The sequence below is a fragment of the Homo sapiens genome, chromosome 3, assembly GCF_000001405.40.
Source record: "Homo sapiens chromosome 3, GRCh38.p14 Primary Assembly".
Classification (NCBI taxonomy): Eukaryota; Metazoa; Chordata; class Mammalia; order Primates; family Hominidae; genus Homo; species Homo sapiens.
Genome location: NC_000003.12, coordinates 10,856,329 through 10,881,270, shown reverse-complemented (window position 1 = coordinate 10,881,270; position 24,942 = coordinate 10,856,329). Strand labels below are relative to the sequence as shown.

Below are 24,942 nucleotides of genomic sequence, written 5' to 3'. Positions count from 1 at the left end.
CTAATTTTTATATTTTTAGTAGAGACGGAGTTTCACCATGTTGGCCAGGCTGGTCTCAAACTCCCAACTTCAAGTGATCTGCCTGCCTCAGCCTCCCAAAGTGCTGGGATTACAGGGGTGAACCACTGTGTCCAGCCTAAATGCAGTCACTTTAAGCCCACTCTAATGTATAAAAGGCACAAGTCGTTCACAGGCTCTGGTACTCAGATGATTACCAACAACAATTTGCTACTCCTTCTCAACAGACTAAGAATGGAGGAGAACTTCTGGTCTCATCCAACCACACTTCCTTCTTCTTCTAGGGAGGGAACCCCAGAAGAGGTGAGACTCCACCCTTTCCCATCAGACTGCATGCTCCCTGGGGACAAGGAGGCTCTTACTCATTCTACATGCTGAGTAGCTGGCACAGGTGGGGCTGCAATAACTACCAGTAGAACAAATTAAGGAAGGGTTGCTGGGCTCTGGTGATAGATGAATGGGACACATGTTTGTTGTAATCCCTGCCATCCTGGAGTCCATAGACTAGGAAGGACTCCCCACCAAGTGCTCATTTCACCCCCTCCTGGCCCTCAGTCCACCTGAGCTCACCCTCATCCTCCAAGGGACTAGATGGAGCAGCCCTGGGGACCAACGGGGCTCAGAGGCTGGAGACCTGAAAGTATCCTGGAGCTCAGCCTGAGGCTCAGCCCTCTGACTCCCCGCAGGCTTCTCTTCCTCCCCTAATCACCTCTCCTTCCTATTTCCTATTTCTCCACTTGTGGGAGAGATTTTACTGGCTATAGAGTCACCCACTTAAATTTCTCATAGCTGCAAGAGGCCTGAATACTGCAACTGCTGGATTATCCCAAAGACACAAAGGTGCCCATGCTCCCAGACTAGCCCAACAGCCAGGCCTAGGGACACTATCTGGGAACTTTTCTTCGTGGTGCAATTTGAACTGCAGGATCATTTCCAGAAGTACAGGAAAACTAAGGATCATTTTCAGAAAACAAACAAATAATGTGGACTTGCTAAGAGGACAACACTACAAAGAGATACAAGATGGAAACTTTCACTGACTTCCTGATAAAATACTTCCAGTCGACCCCTCTTCCTAATCTACTCTTCCTAACTTTGGGAGCTGTGCCTCAGTTGTCTGTAGGGTGACCATGTGGCTATGGAAGTCCTAAGACTAGCTTAGGATGTTTCTCTACCGCCACAGCACTGTGCCTCAGATGTTGGCCAGCCACCTTCCACCTGCACTACATTTGTCATGTCCATGCTTTTTTTAAATATTTTTTGAACATTTGCCTTTAAATTAGCCTCACTTTTAATCACATATATGACATATATGTGTATGTATGTATGTACAGGTTGAGTATGTCTAATCTGAAAATCTGAAATGCTCCAAAGAGCTCCAATGCTCATTGAAGCATTTCCTTTGAGAGCCATGTCGGTACACAGAAGGTTTCAAACTTTGGAGCACTTAGGGATACTCAACCTGTATATATATGTATGTATGTATATATGTGTATGTATGAGATCATACATATCATATATATAGTCTCATTCTAGCAATAATAGCAATAAAGCCATGATTTTGATATGGTTTATGTCCCGGTTTTATTCCTAATGCCTATAAACATACATACATAATTCAAAAGAAAAAATATTCCTCCATGACTGGGCCATCAAACTTAACCTTCAAGGCCATTGGCTGGGGCAGGCGGGTGCAACCTGTGATTGAGGGAGGAGGGGACATGGCCCCCTAGAGGCTAGGAGCCTTCCTCAAGGTCATATCACCACTGGCAGAGAGCAGGAATGGAAACCAGTGCTTCTTGCTTCTTCATGGGCTGGGTATTCACAAATGGGGACAGTTGGAATTAGGCCACACTGGGCTTCTTCCTGCAGCATACCCCAGCTGCCAAAACACACCAACATACATGGGGTTTTGTTTTCCTTTCCCTCTTGGGGTCGCGATCCTTATTTATGCCACAGAAAATCAGCAGTTACTTTTTGGGGACATAGTTGCTTTTGGGACACACACAAACACACATACACACTTCCTAGCCATCGCTGACAGAGAATCAAAAAACATTACAGCTCACGGATTTGGTGATCTGGAGGTTATTAGACTTTTTGTTAAAGAGAACCTTCTTGTGAAAAATGAAAATAGCCCTTACTCCTATCATTCAACAAACATTTAAGGAACACCTACTGTGTACCAGGCATTGAGCTCATCAGGGACTGAGGATACAATGGTAGGAAAGGCAGATACAGACCTTGCTCCCAAGCTGCCTTCTCAGCCAGTGGCCACCCTGTGGAAAACTGTCAATGCCTACAATAATCTCTGACACAGAGTAGGCACTCAGAAAATACCTGTTCAACAAGTAAATGGACATTGAACAAATAAAGATCACACACAATTATATACACACATAAATATCTTACTGTAAATATATAGGATATGTAGGTGCTTTGGAAAATAAGTATGGGGTGCTGGGGGTGGTGCATGGTGGGCAATCAGAAAAGACTTGCCTGAGAAAGTGATGTTTAAACTCAGTCCTAAAGGATGAGTGGGCCAGGCACGGTGGATCACGCCTGTAATCCCAGCACTTTGGGAGGCCAAGGTGGGTGGATCACGAGGTCAGGAGTTTGAGACCAGCCTGGCCAACATGGCAAAACCCCATCTCTACTAAAAAAAAAAAAAAATACAAACATTAGCCAGGTGTGGTGGAGCACTCCTGTAATCCCAGCTACTCAGGAGGCTGAGGCAGGAGAATTGCTTGAACCTGGGAAGCGGAGGTTGCATTGAGCCGAGATCACACCACTGCACTCCAGCCTGGATGACAGAACAAGACCCCATCTCAAAAAAAAAAAAAAAAAAGGATGAGTGGATGGTTGGTCAGTCAAGTTGGGGAAGGACAGTCTGGGGAAGAAAGAAGGAGTGTTTCCAGCAGAGAAACAGCATATGTGAAGGCCCTGGGGTAGAAAGGCCATGTCTACTGGATGCCCAGAGAGGAGGTCAATACCTGGAATGAGCTGAAAGAGGGGGAGAGTAGTAGGGGACGCAGCCAGGAGGCAGCTCACAGAGGACAGTAGGGACCCCACCATTTGGATCTTATTCCAAAGACCACAGGGAATCCCAGGAGAATTTAAGCAAAAGAGGTGCCCATTGGATTTACATTTCAAAAAGATCCCTCTGTTGCTGGGTGGGGAGTGGCCTAGATGGTCAAGGAGCCATTTCTGGATGACCAGTTAGGGGGCTACTACAGTTTTCCAGTGGGAGATGGTGGTGGCCTGGACTAGGCTGGTGGCAGCAGGGGTGGAGAGCAACAAGGACGGAGTCGGGGGTCAGGTGGAGTGGGGCCCATCAACCCCTGCTCACATGCCCCTGAGGGTACCCCAGTGCACTGTCAGCAAACTTTTTCTAGAAAGAGCCAAGTGGTAAACACTTGAGATTTTGCAGGCCTGTAGGAAAGAGTCAACAGAGCAGGCCCAATGTTGCTCCAAAGTCGGGCCCATTTGTAGTGTTGGCTCTTGCCTGGTGTCTGGGAATTGGGCTTTTAGGATGCTCCCTGTGGTACTAATTGACACGGTTGTTTTGTATGCCTGGAACACTGAATCCCATAAAGGCTGCCTGCCTAGACCATTTGTATAGCAATGTGATTTCTGGTGAACACCTGTGTTTCCTCTGAGAGTCTGGAAGTCAGAGGGTTGTGGCTGATCATGGAGGCAGGAAGTACCTGTGCAGTCAATAAAACACCCTCACTAAAAACCTGGACTCTGCATCGCAGGAAGGCTTCTCTGGGCAGAAACCCTGCACACATGCTGCTGCATTTCCTTGCTGGAGGAAGGAACACAGTCTGCATACCCGCTCCAGGCAGGAGGGAGGGAAAGTGAGAAGCCTGTGCATGGATTCCTCCACATTCTGCCTGGTGAGTGTCTTTGTCTTGCTGATGATGGAAACAAACCACATCCATGAGTATAACTGCTTCTGTGTCCTGTGAATCCTAAATTACCAAATATGTAGGTAATCTTGGGACCACCCCCCGACACAGGGGTCCATAGGGTTTCTGTCTCAACTACTCAACTCTGCCTTTGAGTGCTAGAACAGCCATGGATAACAATATGTAAACAAATAACAGGCTGTGTTCCAATAAAACATTATTTATAAAAATGGGCAGAGGGCTGGATGTGACCTGAAGGCCATAGTTTGCCAGCCTATGCTCATGGAAAAGTGGGGGCTCTCCAAATCCACTTTGAAAACCCTTTCATGTCACCAGTGAAGAAACTGAGGACCAGAAAGAGGGAAGGGAGAAGGAACTTGTCCACAGGTACTCAGGTTCCATGGCAGAACCAGGAGAACCCAAGTCCCAACTCTCAGACCAATGTGCTCTCCACTACTTAATACTGGCTGGTGGCCAGGGCCTAAAAGGAAGCAGATGGTAGAAAATGGCCTGGCCTGCCTCACCTCTGTGTTAGTTCTCGTTTGTTTTTTTTTTTTCTCTCTCTCTCTCTCTCTGTGTGGGAGGTGGGGCGGGGGGGGGGGGGCGGGGCGTTTAAGGTGTAGGTGCCACCTGGATTTTCCCAAACTTTTTTGATTATAAGAATCACCTCTGGGGGTTCTTAATAATATGGATGCCCAGGTGCCATCACAGACCCACTGCAACTGGATCACCGGGAGTAGGGCCTAGAATCAGCATTTTTAACCAGCTCCAAGGTATTCGGATGATCAGCCAGATTTGGAAACTCTGGGTGACACTCAGTGGCTCTTGAATGACTACCAGGAAGAAAGAAGCCCATAAGCAGAGGAGAGAAGGGGAAATCTGTCTTGGATCAAGGCAGAATGCATGGACCTCATAAAAACACACCGATCAGTGGTTTGTAGAATATGTTCTCCAAAACTGCTCCTTCAACTGAGCCTTTGCCATCAGAGATCAGGAACTGGCAAAGCCAACAGTTGAAGCTAATTTCCTTCTTCCCAGGGATTCTGCCTGCAATTCAGAATGCCATGCAGGTGCCTAGTGGTATCCTCAGCCTCAAGGCCCTGCAAGGCATGGCAAACTGAGACAAAAATGAGCTAACTTCCCACTCTGCCCACCGTGATGAGGGGCCTCTGAGCTGCACTAACCATCCCCCAACAAACGCTTCCCCCACAAGCTCCCCTAACAGGAGGTGGCTGGAAGCCACAGATCGCAGACTTGAAACTTCTTGCAAGCCTCATTTCCTATTTGGAAACTGTACTGATTCCATGTGTTCTGTGTTTTAACAGAAAAATGAGTGCCTGCTTGCCTGCTCAAATGTCTTTGATTAAGTTATTTCACACACTAGAATGACCTAGAGTCCTTTAAAAGATACTGACACCTGCAACCCACACCCAGAGAGTTCATTTTAATTGGTCTGGGTTATGCTCTGGGAATTAGGGTTTTCAAAAGCTCCCCAAGAGTTTCTGACGTGTAGCTGAGGTTGAGAACCACCAGGCTTGTGAGATGTTCTGTTTTTATCTGTTTAACGTATTCCAGGGCACACCACCATGTACCCACTAAGAGAACCTTAGGCACAATTACTGCCCACCATTCAGAACAACCAATGCCTTACCAAAGACAACTGATAGCTTAGCCAGTTTCTCCAACTCTTTTTTTACTACGAGCTACTCCCACAAAGAAAATCAATCATGAACAAAGACCCAGTTTCTCTCACCAAGATGCACTACTGCAGAGATCTGTGATTTGGGGCAGTAATTTTTTTTTAATTTTTAATTAACTTCTAACTGAAATTTAGTATTTGTTTCAATTTTAGATGCAGGCAATGAACTGCAGTCCTGTTAGCAATAGAAGATATTTTCATATCATGGTGTAGCTATCTTGAAATGTCACTTATGCTCATTGCTGCTTTAAAATCACAGTAGTCATCAGACTTGCTGCTGGATCTGGCTATGTAATGTCCTCGTTTTAAAATGTGCATCTATTACCATGTCACAAATTTGCCTTTTTAAAATGTTTTGGTAACGGTATTTCAAAATATTTGATTTCCTACGTATTAAATTTATGCATTTAAAATTATTCTGGGAAAGAGTCCACAGGCTTTCCACTGTTCAACCAGCTGTTGAATCTCAGTGGCCAGTGGCAGGGGCTCTGCAGAAGGCTTCCCAGTGGTGGTGGGTGATGCTGCACATTGAGCAAGCGACTCTTACCTGGGGGTCGGAGAGCCGGGAGAGGTCAGGGTACAAGTAGAACTTGATGCCCTCTGAGGCCCCGGGCAACGTGACCCCTCGTATCAGGAGGATCAGCAGCATGATGTAGGGGAATGTCGCAGTCACGTATACAACCTGTGCACAAGAGGAGAGGACAGAATCAAGAAGGGGGTGAGAGCAATGGGGTTACTTCACTCAGCACAATGTCCTTTGGGTGCATGTTGCACCAGGACCCTCTCTCCCAAGGCTGACCAGCATTCCCCCGCGTGTATAGACCACATTTGCTTGATCCATTCATCTGTACAAGCCAATCACAGAAGGACAAATACTGCATGACTCCACTCATGTGAGGTACCTAAAAGAGTCAAATTCATAGAATCAAAGAGTGGGATGGCAGTTGTGGGGAACTGGGAGGGGGGAAATGGGGCATCACTAATCAGGAGGTATACAGTTTCAGTAGTGAGATGTATCAGCTCTAGAGACCTGCTGGACAGTATTGCACCTACAGTCAACAACAATGCATTGGATACTTACAAATATGTTAAGAGGGCAGATCTCATGTTAAGTGTTCTTACCACAATAAATAAAATTAAAAAGGAAAAGGAAGCAGGGGTGATAGGAGTGGGCCACAGAGGGGGTAAAGGAAAGAAGGGCTTCCTGGTGCAGCAACAAGAAGTAACCCCTAACACGGCCTGTCCTCCTGCCTCATACCTCATCACAGGCTAGGTCTCTCAGTGCTGTCTACTGAGTGCCCGTGATGTGCTTGAGAGTGGTGCTTGTTGAATTTTTTTGACCACAACACAGAAAGAAATATACATCACAATCCAGCACACATAGAGCTGAAAAAGAAGTTTCACAACATAACACATGTGTGATACATGCTAATATTTTCTATTGTATTCTTTTTTTAAATAAGCTGGCCATGATCTTCTAAATCCACTTTAGAATTCACTGTTGGGTCAATACCCACATTTTTAAAGCCACAGCTCTTACTGAAAGTTAAGTATGCATAGTTAAAGAGAGACTAGGATAGCACAGGATAGTATAGGCTAGACTAACGTAGGATAGGATAGGATGGTATAGCATAGCATAGCATAGCATAGCGTAGCGTAGCGTAGCGTAGCATAGCATAGCGTAGCATAGCATAGGATAGCATAGCATAACATAGGATAGTGTAGCATAGCATAGCATAGGATAGCATAGAGTAGCATAGGATAACATAGCATAGGATAGGGTAGCATAGCATAGCAGAGCAGAGCATACTATAGGATAGGATAGGATAGGATAGCATAGGATAGGATAGGATAGGATAGGACAGGACAGGACAGGACAGGACAGGACAGGATAGCATGGGACGGGACGGGATAGGATAGGATAGGATAGGATAGGATAGGATAGGATAGGATGGGACGGGATAGGATAGGATAGGATAGGACGGGATAGATGGACAGGACAGGACAGGACAGGATAGGATAGGATAGCATGGCATAGGATAGGATAGGATAGGATAGCGTAGGGTAGGGTAGGGTAGGGTAGGGTAGGGTAGGATAGGATAGGATAGGACAGGATAGGATGGCATGGCATAGGATAGGATAGGATAGCATAGGGTAGGGTATGGTAGGGTAGGGTAGGATAGCATGCCATAGGATAGGATAGGATAGGATAGGATAGGATAGGATAGGATAGGATAGGATAGCATAGGATAGGATACAATAATGAAGGTGAGCATAGGGGAGGGAAAGGAAGAAAAGGGCAGAAATCTTTGGGGGCAGAAAAAACTCAGTGCCTGCCTGGAACCATTTGGGCTTGGTCCATTTGGAGGCAGGCGATTGGACCCAATGAACCCGAGAGACCCTTTTAGCTAGCAGATTCTGGATAAGAATCAAGACAGTGAAAGACACAAACCTCCTCTGAGCTTCCTCGCACAAGAGCGGCCTAGAAGGAGGCATCAAGGCCCGCAGGGACTGTAGGAGTTCCCGTCCCAGGGGCTGCTTGTGGCACCGGCCACACCCCTTAACTGAGGTCCCTGCAGGAGTCAGTGTCCTGCAAGTTCTGACTTTTCTCTTTTGTCACACTCACTCCTCCAATCACTTGGTTCTGTCCTCTCAGTGGGGCCTGCCTCCTCCGTCTGTTCAGATCAGCAACTTGTCAACATTTGGGGTCCAGGGACACTTCTGAGAATCTGAGGACCTTCCCTCCAAATGTGCTCAGATGCAGATACGCATGCAAGCTTTGGTTCAGAGACTCCAATTTCCCAGATAAAGAGTCTATGCCCTGAGACTTCCAGCTTTCTAAGTTAGCCTCTCGCTCCTGTTCAACCCAGGGTTTCTTTGACCAGTGCTTCAGTCCTCCACCCATTTGTTCATTCATGTATTCCTTTATTGACTCAGTTCATTCACCTACTCACTCACTCACTCAAACACTCTCATGTACTAAGAACTGAGCTAGGTCCTGGAAGGTAAAAATAAGACTGAATCACAGGAGGGAAATTTCTGCTTCAAGCGACTTCCAGTTGGTAGTAAAGAAAGACTTATAGACAGGAGGTCATGCCTCATGTCATCAGGGGAGCAAAAAGAATGGAAGAGCACAGACAGAGTGAGTCCCTCACTGCAAGAGCAGTCCAGAAGGGCTTCTCCAAAGAAGTGTCAGCCCATAAAGGATGATAAGGAATTCATTACTTGGAAAATGGGGATGGAAGGAAGACGGGAAAAAGACATCCTCACTCCATGCCCAGCCCTTTACACATGATAATAACAATGGCTGCATTTACTTAGCACTTCCACACATGAAACATTCAACAAGAATGAGTAGGCATGATTATCTTCTTTTTACACATGACAAAGGCCAGAGAAGTTACTCATAACTTGCCCAGGATTGCCCAGTGAATGAACGACAACCAGACATGGGGGTCATAGCAAGTCCTGCCTGACTCCAGGGTCACACATTCAACCACCAGGCTACCTATGTATGCAATCTGCAACCCTCACGACAGCCATGCAGACTCTGTGTTATTTTTCCATTTTAGAGATGAGATTTTCAGAAGAGTCAAGTCATTCCATTTGTAAATGACAAAGCAGAGATTTTAAACCCAGTCCTCAAAAATAGGAAATTAGAACCAGCAAAGGTTGGTGATAGTGGGTCCTGTGGACATAACCTGAAAGGCTGGACTATTTTATTCAGACAATGTCTCTGTTCTGCAATGATGGTAACCTCCCCAGCCCACTCATGGCCCCTGCACCACCAATTTCTGCATCCCTGTTTCCAAATCAACCATCAGCTCAATCGACATGTCAAGTAATCAACACAATCTCTTGCTATCATATGCAATGTAATCCAGAAAAGGTGCAGATCAAATATAAAAGAGCAGAAATCAATATTAATATTAATAAAAATAAGAGGCCAGTAATCAATAAGGCTTGATGGTTTCTGCAGAGAGCTAAAAGTGCTATAAAATCTCCAGTTTCACTTAGCTTTATACACAGCATCTATGATAGATCTTCGGCATTTCATATACATTCTTGATTCATTTCCTTCAAAATCACCCCCTCCCCCCCAACCAAAGCCAATCAGCTTAAGTCTATAAAACATCAGGTTGAGGCTAATAACCCATTGCTTTCATTTAGTAATTTCCACTTTTGTCTCTGTTGTGTGGCAGAAGATTAATTATCCAGAATGTCCAGGAGCTGAAGTGTTCCAGATACATAATATTTGGAACTCAGCTATCTTAATTCCCAATGCTTGCAAAATTTAAGGAAAAGAACCTTACCATGTAAAACATAAGAACAACTCAAAAATCATAAAAATTTGTCCTTCACCTGTGGGGCCACTTTGATGTGATTATGCTTGCTGGTTATGCTATGTCCAGTTTCCACTGGGTAGACTGAGCCAGTGGGGTGTCATTAAGAGGGTCACTTAAAACCTGGCCAAATGTAGCCTCACAGTTCCCAGGCACCATGTACAGAAGACTGCTCCTCAGTTACTACAGTGACATGGTTTATTATGTGGCTGATGATAATTTTGAAGCAATTCCATTGTTTAGAGTTCTGAATCGATGCTCTACTTCTACATTATATTTAGGAGAACTACATTCCCTCCACTGCTATTCACACCTTCATTTTTATACTTCTTTTATAAAACCATAAACCAAGGGAAAAGAAATCAAGGGAAATAAAATATTCAAATGAATTGCCCAAAGACCACAGTGCAGACAAAGAGTTAGGCTGCCAAAATGAAACCACTGGCTGGCAGGCATTAGCCCAGAAAAAATCATTTGTAAGCTGAGGTTTGAGAGCCTTGAGTCAGGGTACAAAAGGTGGCTTAGAGGCATCATTATGTAAGGCACACAAGTGGAGATTGGTATGAAGGTTGAAATTCAATGCTGAGGATAGCCTGTGTCTATAGCTCTTTTAAAGCCACTTTAAAAAGTGGCTCTGTAAAAGCTACTTCTAATCTGTTTCTACCCTTGGCCATGCCAGACACTTGGACATCATCTTTCACTTTTCCTGAGAACAGCTGTGCATTGTCAAAACCATACAGATTCTTGTCATCAAGAGACTGCACATAAGTGACACACATACTGCCACTCTTCCCTCTTGTGCCTTGCCAGACATCACTAATAGATCACAGCATTCTTTGCAGCTAAGCTTGGATGCAGCCTCAGAACCCTCCGCACAGCACTCCAGGCAGCCAGCCATAATCAGCTGGGATGAAACCCCTCTATCTGCTACCCTTGGTCTAGTCCATGTTTCATTTATGCTTTCTCAGACTCTCCTGCAGGTCAACAGAATGGTAAGACCTAGGTCTAGTCCTTGAGGAAGGAATTTATGCACATGAGCATCTAGGAATGAAACTCCTGGGATCATGACACCACACAATGAGGGTCACACAAGAAAAGGAGGCTATGGAGACAGGTTGGGAAGGTGCTTCCAGGGTCTCCGGGAAGGGATCCAGCCTTCTCCTGTCTGTGAACATGGGCTGGAGCTTGGTCCCCAAAGATAAGCAGGAATAGGAGAGGTTGGATCAGGCAGGGAAGATGTGGAACTAGCCAAGGACGCAGAAATAGGCAGAGGGTATTGTCTGCCCCCTCATATATTCAGGAACCTCCAGGTTGTCACTCAGGTATGCTCAGAGTTAGGTTCACCTCTCTTCTCAGCTTCCCCCACATTCAATCAGTGATCAAGTCTTGCCAACTAGATCTCCAACTACCTTCTGAAGTTACACCCCCTTTTTACCGCCATTGCTGGTGCCATTCATCACCTTTCTTCTTGGTCACTGACAGCCTATACTGTCCATACTGCAGCTGCAGTTACAAAAATAATAATCCTGCATGTCTCTTCCCTGTTCCTGAGTCTAACCTCCTCAGCCTCGCATTCAAGGTTGTGGGATATGATGAAAGGGTTGGGCTTAGAGTCGGATAACGCTGGTCCAGTCCTGGCTCTGCCTGGGCTTGCCGTGTGACTTGGCCAGTCTCCACCCTTCCCCAGACTACCAGGTTCCCTGCTATTGGGGAACGTGCCAGGCCTCTTAGGCCTCCTTGCCTTTTCTCAGTCTCTCTTTGTCCACAGAGTCCATCCCCAGCTCCTCGGCCACCCAAGACGTTTGTCCTGTGTGTGTCTGAGTCCCCACAGGCAGAGGATTCCTCCAAGTCAGGGCCCTGCCCTCCAGTTGAGAACTCATTGTCCTTTCTATCTTAAAGGTCTGGAAGACGAGGCTCAGAGTGGTCCATTTAAAATGTCTGTCTCGCTACAGAAGCCACCCTCTTAGCCTCATAAACCACACTGTCTGCCCAGATGTTGCTGAGAGGATGAATTGCCCCGTCCTCCCTGAGCCCCATCCCACATTCATCACCCCTGTCATTCCCGCATCCTCCCAGCACCTAAAGCTGCTCTCCATCAGCAATTTTCTTGCCTTGTAAGTTTAAGATTTTTACAATATAAGGGTTTGGTCTTTTATTTTCCCTGCTGCATCCACAGCACCCAGGACAGTGTATATAGCACATAAGGTGTGCTCAATACATATTTGTTGGACAGAGGAATAAAGAAGCAGGCTGAGATCTGGAACTCTGAGGTTACAATGCAGGTCATTAGGAACACTGCTTTGTGCTGCATCCATATGTGATGCTGGGTCCACATAAAAGGGGATTCAGAAAATTGAATCAGATTTTCAGAGGCATATTTATAAACAAGGACATCACAAAGGATTTGGCTTTAAAAGACAGACCAGGTCATATACAGAGGGCAGGACAGTTCAGGTGCAAGGTGCTTCCTAACAAAGTGTCCCTTTCAAGATGTCTGAGGCCCTAGAATTTGTCTGGAAGAGGCAAGAGGCCACAGCAGGGTTCAGGCATTATGCTGAACTATGCAGCATTTGGTGATGGGCCTAATAAGGTCTCTGACAAGGTACCATCAAGCCTGGCTGTTCCTGGCCACTGCCAGTAGTGGCCCAGACCCAGAAGGGTGGGCGTGGAGAAAGGAGGGTCTAATCTGTCAGAACCCTCAGTCCATGAAAGGAGGCATCACTGCCCAAAACACACCCCTTGGTTAAGAGTTTTCACTATTGTTTAATTCCCTTTTCACAGGTCAAGGCTTTCTGAATATAAAGGTTAGCACAATTGGTGGTAATTATACTGTATCCTGTTTTAATTGACGCTAATTGCTCATTTACATCCCAATACTGGGATTGTGGGGTGGTTTTCCCCCTACGCCCAGGACACGGCCATTTATTTCAGAGCAAGGAGATTGTCTGATCATTTGGAATGCCACAAACATTGTAGAAGGGCCACCCCACCCTAAGATTTCCAGGATAATGGAGTCAATTGGAAAGCCAAGTCTTGTTCAAAAGGCATCCAAAAAAGCAGGGCAGTGTGGGGCAAGAACCTAGGACCACAAAATCAGAAGATCCAATGTGCTGGGCAGCTGGGGCCAGTTCCATACCCTCTCTGGGCTGGCATTTACCATCTACGAAGAGGCAAGGATAGACTAATCCAAACTTCAATCATTCATAGCATCTTCCCAGTATTTTTTGGCCATATACACATAGCACCTTTGTATTATTTACTTAATATTATCTATATATTAGTACACTCTTTTATATTAAACAAATATACATAATGAGAAAACTGTGAATTACCACCATAAACAGAAAACTATGATCTCTTACTGCAAATGGAAAGTAACTACAAAAATAAATGTGACGAAAATAAAATGTGATTAAATTCTAGCCAAAGACTCTGAGTCTGAGCTGTGTTCTGTCTTTGTTCAAAAGCAGGAGAAGCAAGTTCTAGAGAGGTGCTAAAGATAAACCAGCACCTCAGCATACCTTTCACCTTAAGGGACATGAAAAGGGAAGAGCTGTCTCACTTCGTAATTGGATGCTCTGCAGTCTGGGTTCATGGATTATCACTGAAATCATCCCGTGGACCACGAGTGGAAAGAACTCTTTCTGGATTTGTGGGAAAGGACCAGATGGATGGTTTCTGAGGTCCTTCCTTGCTCTCTCAGTCAGCCAAAGGACCAGGACTCCTTGGAGCTATCCAGGGTCCTGACACGGATTTGGGTTGAACCTTCTGTGAACCTGATACCCAGAGCCTTGGAAAATGCTGCTATTAACTGAACACCTACTGGGTGCCAGAAATATCTCATACAGTATCTCTAACTAATTTTCACACCACTTGAGTAGGTTCTTTCCCCACTTTGCAGACAAAAATTCCTCCGAGCCTAGGCAGACAAAAATCTCTCCAAGCCTAGGGAATTCTAGGTCACAATGCTGGAAGTGCTCGGAAGTCTGCTCTCTCCAGCACACATGCTGCACTCTGCCACACGTGTGGCCAGGTGCTGCCATCTTGTCTTCTCCTCTGGCTGTTTTTAACCTCAAGTGTTCAGCTTGCCTGACATTTGGCAGCAACTCATAATCCATCGCCCACTCTCCCAGCCAGAGGACACTGTGCAGTCCCGCCTCTCCCCTGCATCCCCTTCCAGCCAGTCTCGCTTCTATCTCTCAGGTGCATCTGCCCATCCCATACGGCCAGAAAGCATGGCACTGAACATCCAATCCCTAGACAATCACTCTTTTAAATATTAACTGATTTTTCTCCCCTTTGGTTTTTTAGAGACTACTACCTGCATTCCCAGGAAAGAACACTAAAGCAGTCAACTAACAGTCTGGCATAACTCCCACAAAGATACTATTTATCTTTGGGAATAAAATGCAAGAGAATGCATATCTAAAGAAGAAAGGCCACCCTGGACACATGTGGCCTCCTCACAATTTTTGCCACTGTTGGAGGTGTTGTTCTAGAACATTCTAACAGAAATAGTAAATGTAGGGGAAAACTTTCTGTTTTAAGCAACCAAATTCTAAATAGGTAGAGTCATGTTTTCACAAGAAAACAGTGGCATTTCTTCAAGGGGGTAATGGTATTTTAACAATGCAGTGGTATTTCCATGAAGAGCTAAAGTTATAATTTTTGTACAAGTGCAAGTGGTGTATCATTAGCTGTGAAAATTAGCCCGTGTGTGGGGCCTAAAATAATCTAACTAAACACTGACCCATGTGGGATCCACGTTTCAGGGCACTATCCCTGGGCTGGGTTGAGAAGGAAGAGAAGAAAGGTGTTGAGGGGCAGGACTGGAGCTGGGAACAGCCCAGCAGGTGGTCTCCATCCCACCACAGCACAGAGACCATGACTCTATTCTCCCTCTTCTGCAGTAACAAAACCCCTCATTTTCAAAAGGACCCATGGCTGCCCCAAATAAAGACATTTCCCAGCTTCCTCTGTAGGTGGGCGTGGCCATCTATGTTCTGGCCAACAAGATAGAAATGAAGGTGCCAGGTACAGCTTCCAGGTCAAGTCCTTAAAGGGAAGGGCTGTAACCCATCCTTCCTTTCTTGCCCTTCCCATGGGCTGAAATGAAAACAGTCTTGGGCCATCTTAGGCCATGTAAATGAGGGCAACACCCTAAGGAAAGCAAAGCAACAGAACAGAAGGAGTCTGGGTCCCTGAAACTGGGCAGCTCACACCCATGCTGTTATGGGAGAGAGAAATAAACTATCCTGTTTATGCTTCTGTTCTCTGAGGTCTCCATTATAAGGAGTCAAACATGGAAGCTAAATATCTAACCACCAATTGCCTCTGTGATCTTGGGTGGGTCCTGTTGCTGTTTTGTTGTTTCTCACCAAATGGAGGCACTAGCCCAAATGATCCACACTGTTTCCTTCTACTCAGACAGGAAGAGAAGATTCTGAGGACAACCCAGGAGCTGAAGGTGGACCCTTAAGAGTGACCATCCTTCTACACCTGTAGTCAACCAGGAACAGCAATAAAAGGAATCAGGAAGTCTTCAGAAAGTTTTGTCTGTGTAAAGAGCAGTTAGAACAGCTTTACCAAAGATATCACCATGTCTTGGGAAGCCACAGGGTTTTTTGTTTTTGTTTTTGAGATAGAATCTCACTCTGTAGCCAGGCTGGAGTGCAGTGGTGTGATCTTGGCTCACTGCAGCCTCCACCTCCTGGATTCAAGCGATTCTCCTGCCTCAGCCTCCCAAGTAGCTGGGACTACAGGTGCATGCTACCACACCCAGCTAATTTTTTGTATTTTTAGTAGAGACGGGGTTTCACCGTGTTAGCCAGGATGGTCTCGATCTCCTGACCTCGTGATCCACCCACCTCGGCCTCCCAAAGTGCTGGGATTACAGGTGTGAGCCACTGTGCCTGGCCACCACAGGTTTAGCCTTCTCTGCCAGTTTAAAATGGGCCTGACAGGATGGCCAAATTTGGCATGGGCCCCATCACCAAGCACAAGGCGCATGCATGGGCTTGGCGGTCCATGAGACCTTCCTAAGCTTCCATCTTCTGTGTGAAATGAGGATAATGCCTATTTCAAATGATGTCGTGAGGATTGGTTAGAGATCACTCTGCAAAGCATCTGACATGAAGACAGCTCAATAATTAGAAAGATTGTGACTGTCTTTACTCACCATCACTGTGCAATAAGCAATGCCTCTCCAACCCAGTGAGTGAGTGGCCTTGGCTGGCAGAGAACAACATATCTGAGGGTTCAAGACCACAGACAAAGAGGCAGGAATCAGCTCTGTCTCAGCTGTGAGGGACACTGGGAAATGGCTCTTGACAATCCTTATGGATCTTCTCCCTGATAGATGGGGGCAGCAGTGGAAGGCTGGTGTTAAGAGGTGATAATCCATTGGCTGGGAAAATCTGAGTGAATAGAACCCAGAGATAAGAAAGACCTCTGGACAGAGAAGAAGCACACACAGCTGTTTGGAGGAGCTGCAGCAGCCAGACTCAAATGAAGGACAGAGGGAATCAGCCAGAGCGGCCACTATGGATGAGAATCCTCTCTGAAGTCCTAACTGTGGCGGCTGATGGGCCAGGGTGCAGACAGTGCCTAGAAGGAAGGGAAAAAATTATATCTGGATGAAACCAAATAAGATCTACTCCAATTTAAAAGGATAGAAGGAAATCAAAGCTGAGTTGAAGGGAAGCCGGGGACCCAAGTGCACCATCACAGACACACCCAACAGGGAGGAAGCCTGCCCTGTAAAGAGGGATGCCAGGCTTTCAAGAGTAGCCAAGGTCAACGAATATCTCCAACCTTTCGGATGTGCCAGGAACCTGGTGAGGAAGGAGCTTGGGGGCTCTCCATTGAGGGGTACATGGTTGCTAGGGGCTCACGCGCAGTTACTGGGGGGAAAGTTGCTGAGACTTCTCAGATACTGACAGGAAAACGCCCCTCCCAACCCTGAGAGGTCACAAGGGAGGGGTGTTTTCCTGTCAGGCATCATCGGGGCTGGGGTAAGAAATCTAACATCTAAGAGCTTAGGGAATAGTGTCACTCTTTCTTCTCACTGATGGCTGAGAACATAAAGATCACCTACACCCATGGCTCATTCCAGTCCTGAGAGTCCAAGACTCTATTATTTGGTAATGAGAGACATCCTAGTTGGACACAGAGGGCTCAAGAGGGAAAAATGCTTCACTTGGGAGAAATGGAAGATCAGAAGATAGCTAATAATAATAGGACTGACATTTATCATTTCCTTGATGTGCCTTATTCTTACATTATCCAATTCTAGAAGACAGAAAATATTATTCCCATTTCACAGAGATGGACACTGAAGCACCCAGAAGTTGTGCATTTGACCTATGATTCCAAAGCTAGATAAAGGCAGGATTCAAGCTCAGAGCCATTCAACTCCGAAGCCCCGAACGGACCCCTCGGGAGTTTGAGTTCCCCTATGAGCCAACTACATTCATCTCACACCATGTCCTCCTGTGTCCCCTGAACAAACCCTTCACTTCCCTGCCTGCAAACCTTTGCTTTCATGTCACCCTTCACCTGAGTGGGACAGTGGAGATGAGGAAAGGAAGGTCCTTTCCTCTTCTCTACCTATGAAAATCTTGCTGACCTTCAAGACCAGTTCAATGACCATGTCTTCTAGGACTCAGTAAGAGGCCATCCAGGCAGAACAAAACACTCCTGTCACAGCCTGCAACACACTGAGCAATGTGGCATGCAGATACGGGGAGCCATCTTGGCTTCAGAAAATCAAAGTTCACATCCAGCCTCTGGCACTCTGTGTGCATGTGGCTGACTTTTGGCAAGCTATTATCTTTCTAGGTCTTGATATTCTCTTCTATAAAATGGGGATAGCAATGCAGCAGATGAACTCAATCCCTTTAAGCCTCAGGCTCTTAATCTGTGAATCATAGACCATAGTTCCCACCTCTCTTGGTAGATGTAAGGATTAAATGAGCCCATGTCTACACAGCACCAGGTACAGTGACCTGACACATTAGCCCTCAGGAGACAGTAGCTTCCCTTCCTCCTTCTACTTAGCCCTTATTTCATTCTGCCTTGTAATACAGTCAGCTGTTCACAGACCTGGCTTTCTCTTTACTTGGTATCTACTCAAAGGCAAGGGCTTTATTCATCTCTACAGGCTCTGAAACACTTCCTGGGAAGACCTACATGGACTGCAAATAGTTGGTGCATGAATAAATTCAGACCTCAATAACACGGTAAGAACAAACAGAACATAACAGGACATAACCCCATATGTCTGCAATAGGCCCTGGTGTGAACAGTCCATGTTCTCATTTCAGTCTCTCCATCTGAGAGTAAAATACTCGCAGTTGAATTCCATTCATATCCATCCACTGAGCCTACAGTGTGCCAGGCCCTATGCTGGATTCTGAGAGCATGCTGATGAATGACCTGGGTCCCTGCCCTCAAGGGTGTGTGAGCTAACCCTAGAACAGATGTATATGACTGACAGTTCACAGGATGGCAGCAGAGGGCCTCAGGCATATGCACAGTGGTGTGAGCAGCTTGGCTGGCAGTGGTGTGCCAGAGAGCACCTCCTGGAGCTAAACTTTGAAGGAGGCACAGCATGTTCCCATTGCTCCAGAGTCCTGATCTAGAATGTGCTACATGAAGAAAGTCCTTAAAGCAAGAAGAACCCAGGACACAAAGCAGGCAGAGTTCTCCAGGTTGGGAAAAATCACCTCCAAGGAAAGACACAAGCACTGTGTGCAACGGTGACAAGATACTTAAATAGCAACCATGCTCATTAAGAAGGCTGAGCCCAATTTAAATCCCTGTCCACAGGATATCCAAAATTCACTCGATGAGGGAGTCTAGTGTTTAAGCCTATTTCATGGTGAATTAAGGTTAGCTAGGGAGTCAATGCTACTGATTTTTACGTAGCTCTACCATAAAGACCATGAAAAGAAAACAAACCCAAAATGAAAACAAGCCCAAGCAACATAAACATTCCAACAGTGCCCAGCCAAGCTTACACTGGTATTAGGAGTTATTATTTACTGCCTGGAAAACATACTCGGAACCTTGGCTAATAATGATTTAAACCCCATCCATCTCTCTTAGACTAGAAGGCTGGTGTCACCATGGTGACCAAGGGCACCATTAAACCACAAGTTCCCCAGGCAAGGATGTGCCAGTGGGGGGACACTGCCAGATGAGAAGCACCACCCCATGTCCTCTTACTCCCTTAAACACACTTGGGATGGAGTTGTGGAGAGGAGGGATCCCATACTCAGGGGCCGCATTTGGAGCCAGAAAGAGCAAGGTGCTGCCTTGTTCCTGCAAGCATCCCCTGTTCTGAAAGGCAGACTCTCCTCCCATCCATCCAATTGGCCAAGGACTCTGGGCTCTCCTGGGCTCTTCCTCAGGGATCCTGAGCAACATGGATCCCTCCCAGCTAACCCATGATGGTTGCAACATGCTCCTTTCAAAACTGCTTCATTTCTTGGAAGAAGAATCAATGCTCACCTCTTGTTCTCACCTCACTTGAAAGCTGTCTATCCTCTTTCTTTCATTTCTCTACTTGGCAGCCATCCCACAGGACACCAGGGTCCCCCAGGGACTATTAAAATAGTCCAACCTAATGGCTTCTTCATGCTTGCTCATCTCCTATCTTTGCAGCTTTAAAACTTTCCTTCATTGGACTTTTCTAGTTTTCTGCCTCCTTTCTCCATGATTTTTTTAAGTCTCTTTCACAGATTCATTACTTCCTGCTTTTTTTTGTTTGTTTTTGTTTTTGACACAGGGTCTCACTCTATTGCCCAGGCTAGAGTGCAGTGGTGAAATCACTGCTTGCTGCAGTCTTGACTTCCTGGGCTCAAGTGATCCTCCCACCTCAGCCTCCAAAGTAGCTAGGACTACAGGTGTCCACCACCATGCCCAGCTAATTTTTTAAATTATTTGTAGACATGGGGTCTTGCTATGTTGCTCAGACTGGTCTTGAACTCTTGGGCTCAAGCAAGCCTCCCACCTTGGCCTCCCAAAATGTTGAGATTACAGGCTTAAGCCACCATGCCCGGCCTCTTCATGCATTCTTTCAATCAATTAATCAAATAACCAATCAATCAATCACCTTCACTTAGCATCTGTTATCTGCCAGCTACTGTGTTAGGCATAGGAACAAGTCCTGCCTCACAGGTAGCTCTCAAAGGAAGCTGCTCTCTACAGATTTCCAAACTGCTTCCCAGAAGTGGGGCCTCACCCGGATCCTATTCTCTAAACACTCTCCTGGGTTTTCTTTCCTATTCCTATGGGTTTAGGAGCCACCAATGTACTGATGCTCTTTAATCCTCCTCATGCAGTGGTATCTCTTGAATTTAAGACCCATATTTTCAACCTCTTATGTATATGTCTACCTGGATTTCCTATGAAGACCTACAATTCTACATACTCAACACCAAAATTATTACTGTCTCCTCCAAATCTGTTCCTCCTTCTGTGTCCCCCTTTTAGATAATGGTGTCATCCAAGCTACAACCTCCATGTGTCTTCTTTGATTTCAGCCTCCCTGCTTCCCCCTCTTCAAGGATAAACCTTTTGACAGGGAGGAATGCATAAGCTGGCTCCACTTCCCGGAAGTTCCAGCACGCCATGGAAGCTGCTGTTACCCAGTATGGCCAGTTCCAATGGGCATGCCCAGCCCAGCACACATCTTACAACCCTTGCCCTCCTTCTCCCGCCTTGAAGCCTCATTAGCCTGGATTTTCCCTTCTTCTCAGGGAACCCTTCAGCTTCCTCTTCCTCTCAGCCCCTTACATGTTGGTGTCCCCCAAGTCCCATCTTCACTCTTGTGCTCTTCTCTCTTGCATTCTCATCCTGGCTGTCCCACTTGTTCCCAGAGCTTCAATTCCATCAGTTCTAAGAAACATGTTTTAAAAATGGTTCACCTTATTATCTCTGAAATCAGGATGGCTCCCACATGGCAGCTGCAATGTAGTTTCCACTGCCGGAATGGAAGGGACCAAGGGCATAGCTGTTCCTGTTTCATCACTATAGCTGAGCTAAGGGTTTTGTTAGATAAAATATTTTAAATTAATTTAGTCAATTGCTGTGTGAGATTTAGAATGTCTTTTAAAAAGATTACACTATGTCTCTGTAGAAAGGCACAGAAATAGGGATAAATTTTGATACTGTAAAGAAAATAGAAATCATTGGTGAGATGATCACACTTCCATATTTTCTTGCAAAGAAACAGCCAATTACTTTATGGATCCAAGAACCCCAAGTAAATGAAGCTATGTTACATTCTGTTACCACAAACTGGTTGCCAAAAAATACCCCAGAAAACACACCTGAGGTCAGAAGAATCTGCCAATTCCTTTGGAAGAAACTTCAAAGCAACAGTAGAGTCTGGTGTGACTATTCCACGTGTCACACAGGAATAATGTTAAAGCAGTGGATAGTAGATTAATTGGAAGTGTTTATACTTCTGGTAAATGTTCTTAATTGAAAGCATTATGTACCTTCTGGTACATAAAATAATGATGTAACTTAGATTAGACAAAATATGGCATATTAGAGGTTTCTCATTTTGGGAAGACACAGGTCCCTTAAAAATAAGACGATATCTACAGACCCTCACCCTAGAAAAAAGTACATATCACACAATCTCAGAATTTTTATACAATTCCAAGGAGCTCATGGATACCTTGAAACATCCACAGGCTCCAGGAAAAGAAATCCTAACATACATGCTAACGATTCCACTGCACACATCTCTCACCTGAGCTCAGACATACCTGTCTGCTACCCAAATATCTCTACTTGCAGAGTCACAGACATTGCAGAGTCACAGACATTAATGGGTCTACTTGCAGAGTCACAGACATTAATGGGTCCTCAAAGAATGGTCTCCCTCAACTCCAGCCAAAACACTGCCTCCTACCATATTTCTCCATTTCGCCTACCAGCACCACTGAGCACTGGGCACTCAAGCCAGAAAGCTGGGCTTCATCTTGGGCTGCTGTGTCTCCTTTACCCTCTACATTGGGTCACAGAGGGCTGACTCATACTCTTGCTTATTTCACAAATTCTTCCTCTCTCTCCACCTCAAAGTTGTCACTATCTCCTACCCAAACTACTTAATGGCATGTGTTCTGGTCTCAGCCCCCTCCTATTCATTCCACATGCCACATTTTATGGTGGCCTTTTTATAAAGCTTGGTCATAGAATCCCCTGGCTTTAAGCCTTTTGGTGCCTCTCCATTGCTCTCAATTTCTTACTAGGCTTGTCTACAATCCCTTCATAAGCTGATCTCTACCTACCAATCCAGCCTGTTTCTCTTCATATACCCTCGAGGGCTGCCCATTCTGGGCATAAAGAACTTGTTCCATTCCTTTCCAGAGCCATGTTCTCTCTCTCTCTCTGGACAATCCCATATGCTGCACAGGACCAAGTCTTAGATATTTGCCTTTATGTCTCCTTGACTTACCAGAATACCTAAAACCCAGTAGGTGTTTAATAAGTGCATGTTGAATTAATTTGAAGGCACATAGCTCCGTAAAACAATAACTCAGTATTAAATGCCATAGTGAGACAGAAAAACAGAGGGGCTTCCAGTCCCAGCTCTGTGACCTTGAGCAGGTTACTGTACCTCGCTAAGCCTCAGTGTGCCCACCTATAAAGTGGAAACAAAAATACCTACTTCAAAGAATTATTGTGAAGATTAAATGACATAACATAAGTTAGTGATTGCAACAAGAGCAGTACATCCTCTAAGGGGCAACCTGGAGACATGTAGAGGCATTTCGAGTCATCATAAAGATGGAGGTGATGCATTTGATGGCAAATAACTAGAGATGCTGGGAATCCTACAGTGTGGGGGACCATCCTCACACAGCAAAAAAACTCTCCTGCTTCTCAAGATTTCTGCATGTTCCACTTCCTGTGGGGTGGGGAGGAGCTGTTTATAATTATTCGAGTGAGAAGCTAACTCTGTTTTACATATATCCTCGAAGATTTTTTTAACCTCATTTTAATATAGACTGAATTTTCCAGAAATGCAATTACCATGTAAATTGAGGAAAGGCTGTCTCTTTAATTCAGTACTTTACCAAGCATTGTTCATCATTTCAGAAAATCATGTCACTAATGGCTGTACTGTCCGTGGAATGTGAGTGATTGACACAACCACCCTTTTATTAGTCACTATTCCAGCTATTGCATTCGTGGTGATTCTATAATAACATATGTGGCTAGTTCTTATTTAAAAATGTAAAACATGGAGAAAAAGTATAGACAATATTCAGTGGTGCATCGGCTCTCCTGTCTCACATCCATATGTATTTCTTACAAGCTGGTGCCAGCACCTGACTACTTCATTATGTTTTCTTGTGTGCTCGAGCATTTACATATTGAAATACATGCTGTTTTATTTATAATTTGCTCTCTTTTTGCTTTTCCTTTATAATATAGCTAGGGCATCATATCAATTTTCTTGAACTTATCTGTGCAGGCAGATTATTTATGAGTTGCGTTTCAGGGTGACAAAAGCCATGTTACAAAATCCTTGTCACAAACAAGGGGTGCAGGGTCTGTGAGTGGCTTGTAAAAGCCCTGGCACCAAGGCTGGCATAGAGTAAGCATTTGTTTCCTGGGTGTTGGTACTATTATTATCAATATACTGAGCCAATCACAATTATGACACAACTTAATTGTGATTCAGGATAAGGCTCTTCTCTGGCTTCAGCCGAGTGAATTATCGTCTGCTCCAGTGTTCTCACTGGGGGTTCTAGTTCATTACACATCAGGGGTTGTCAAACAGGAAAGAAGACAGCTGCTACCCAGCACAGAGCACAATGTGAGGCCTGTTGGTGCCACCTCCACTTTCCCAAAACACACCCCCTACTCAGGAACATCAATGGCTCCCCACTGCCCATGGGACCTTCCTCTGATAATTATGCTTCCCCTACTCTGAAGTCTGGCCCAGCCTATGGCTTCCCAACCCCTATAGCCATCCTTGGCTCTCCCTTTCCACACCACTCCTCCAATGTGAGGTCCAGTTCTAGCCCCTCCCCTTGCTCAAAGTGATGCTGAAATCACACCTCTTCCAAGAGGCCTTTCCAGACCACCCCGGGCCACTATAACCTCCTTATCCAAACTCGGTACCAACACAGACTGTGCCAGGATTTGACAACACTTACTCCAGAATCATGTTGATTATCTTCAGGTGAATGAATCCAATCTTAATTCCCCATTAAATAGAGAGCACTTTGAAGTTGGAGCATGGATTTGTAAAAACTGCAAGCAATAATGATGAGACTAACATTGGGGTGTTCCCTGTATGCAAGCATGGGGGAGTATTTCCACACATCGCCTCACTTGAGCCTTATAACAACCCGTGAGGTGGGGGTTTCTCAGTGCCCCCAGGTAAAGCTGAGGAAACAGCTCAGAGGAAAAGAAGGCCTGTGCCCAAGGTCACCGTGGAAACAGAGCAACCATTCAGACCGGGGCCTGCCTGGTTCCAGAGGTGGTGGAGCCCATGGACTCTGCTCTCTTCCACCCATCCATTTTCAAATTACCCAGCCCACCACGGGTACCCGGCACATCATAAGCACTTGGTCTGGTGGGTGGGTGAATGTTTGCCAAGGCAAGGAGGGAGGGCCAATGCTTGTTGAGGACTCTGTGGGTACCAGGGGGAAACGCACCAGTTTTGGGTTCTACCTTGGTAGACCTGGGTTTAAATCCTGACTCCTCCACCAACTGTGTGACCCTGTGCACATCACTTACCTCTCTGGGCCTCAATATCTTCATTTGTAAAGTGGATTTGCCAACACTCGCCTGACAGTCTGTTGTGAAGGTTAAGTTAAATCATGAAAGTGGAGGGCCCAGGCCAAAGTCCAGCATGTGGCAGGTGCTCTGCAAACGATGTGCCTCAGCTCAGCAGGAAGGACCTGGGTCTGTCTGACTCCACTGCTTTTGGGACTTG

At 45.6% G+C, this 24,942-nt stretch overlaps 1 protein-coding gene across 3 annotated transcripts in view, besides 1 other annotated feature; it reads right to left on the bottom strand.

Annotated features, from left to right (window-relative positions):
• Nucleotides 1–24,942, bottom strand: part of SLC6A11 (solute carrier family 6 member 11) — a 124,487-nt gene that overhangs the window by 59,444 nt on the left and 40,101 nt on the right. For all 3 annotated transcript variants that reach the window (NM_014229.3, XM_011534033.3, XM_047448764.1), the window contains one exon: nt 6,176–6,310. In NM_014229.3, the coding sequence (NP_055044.1) occupies nt 6,176–6,310 (135 nt within the window). The remainder of the gene's footprint in view (nt 1–6,175; nt 6,311–24,942) is intronic.
• Nucleotides 13,580–13,780: a silencer, noted in NCBI's record as "peak4541 fragment used in MPRA reporter construct". NCBI's record gives its function as "represses an SCP1 promoter by STARR-seq MPRAs in K562 erythroleukemia cells {active_cell/tissue: K562}" and the evidence as "EXISTENCE:reporter gene assay evidence [ECO:0000049][PMID:32103011]".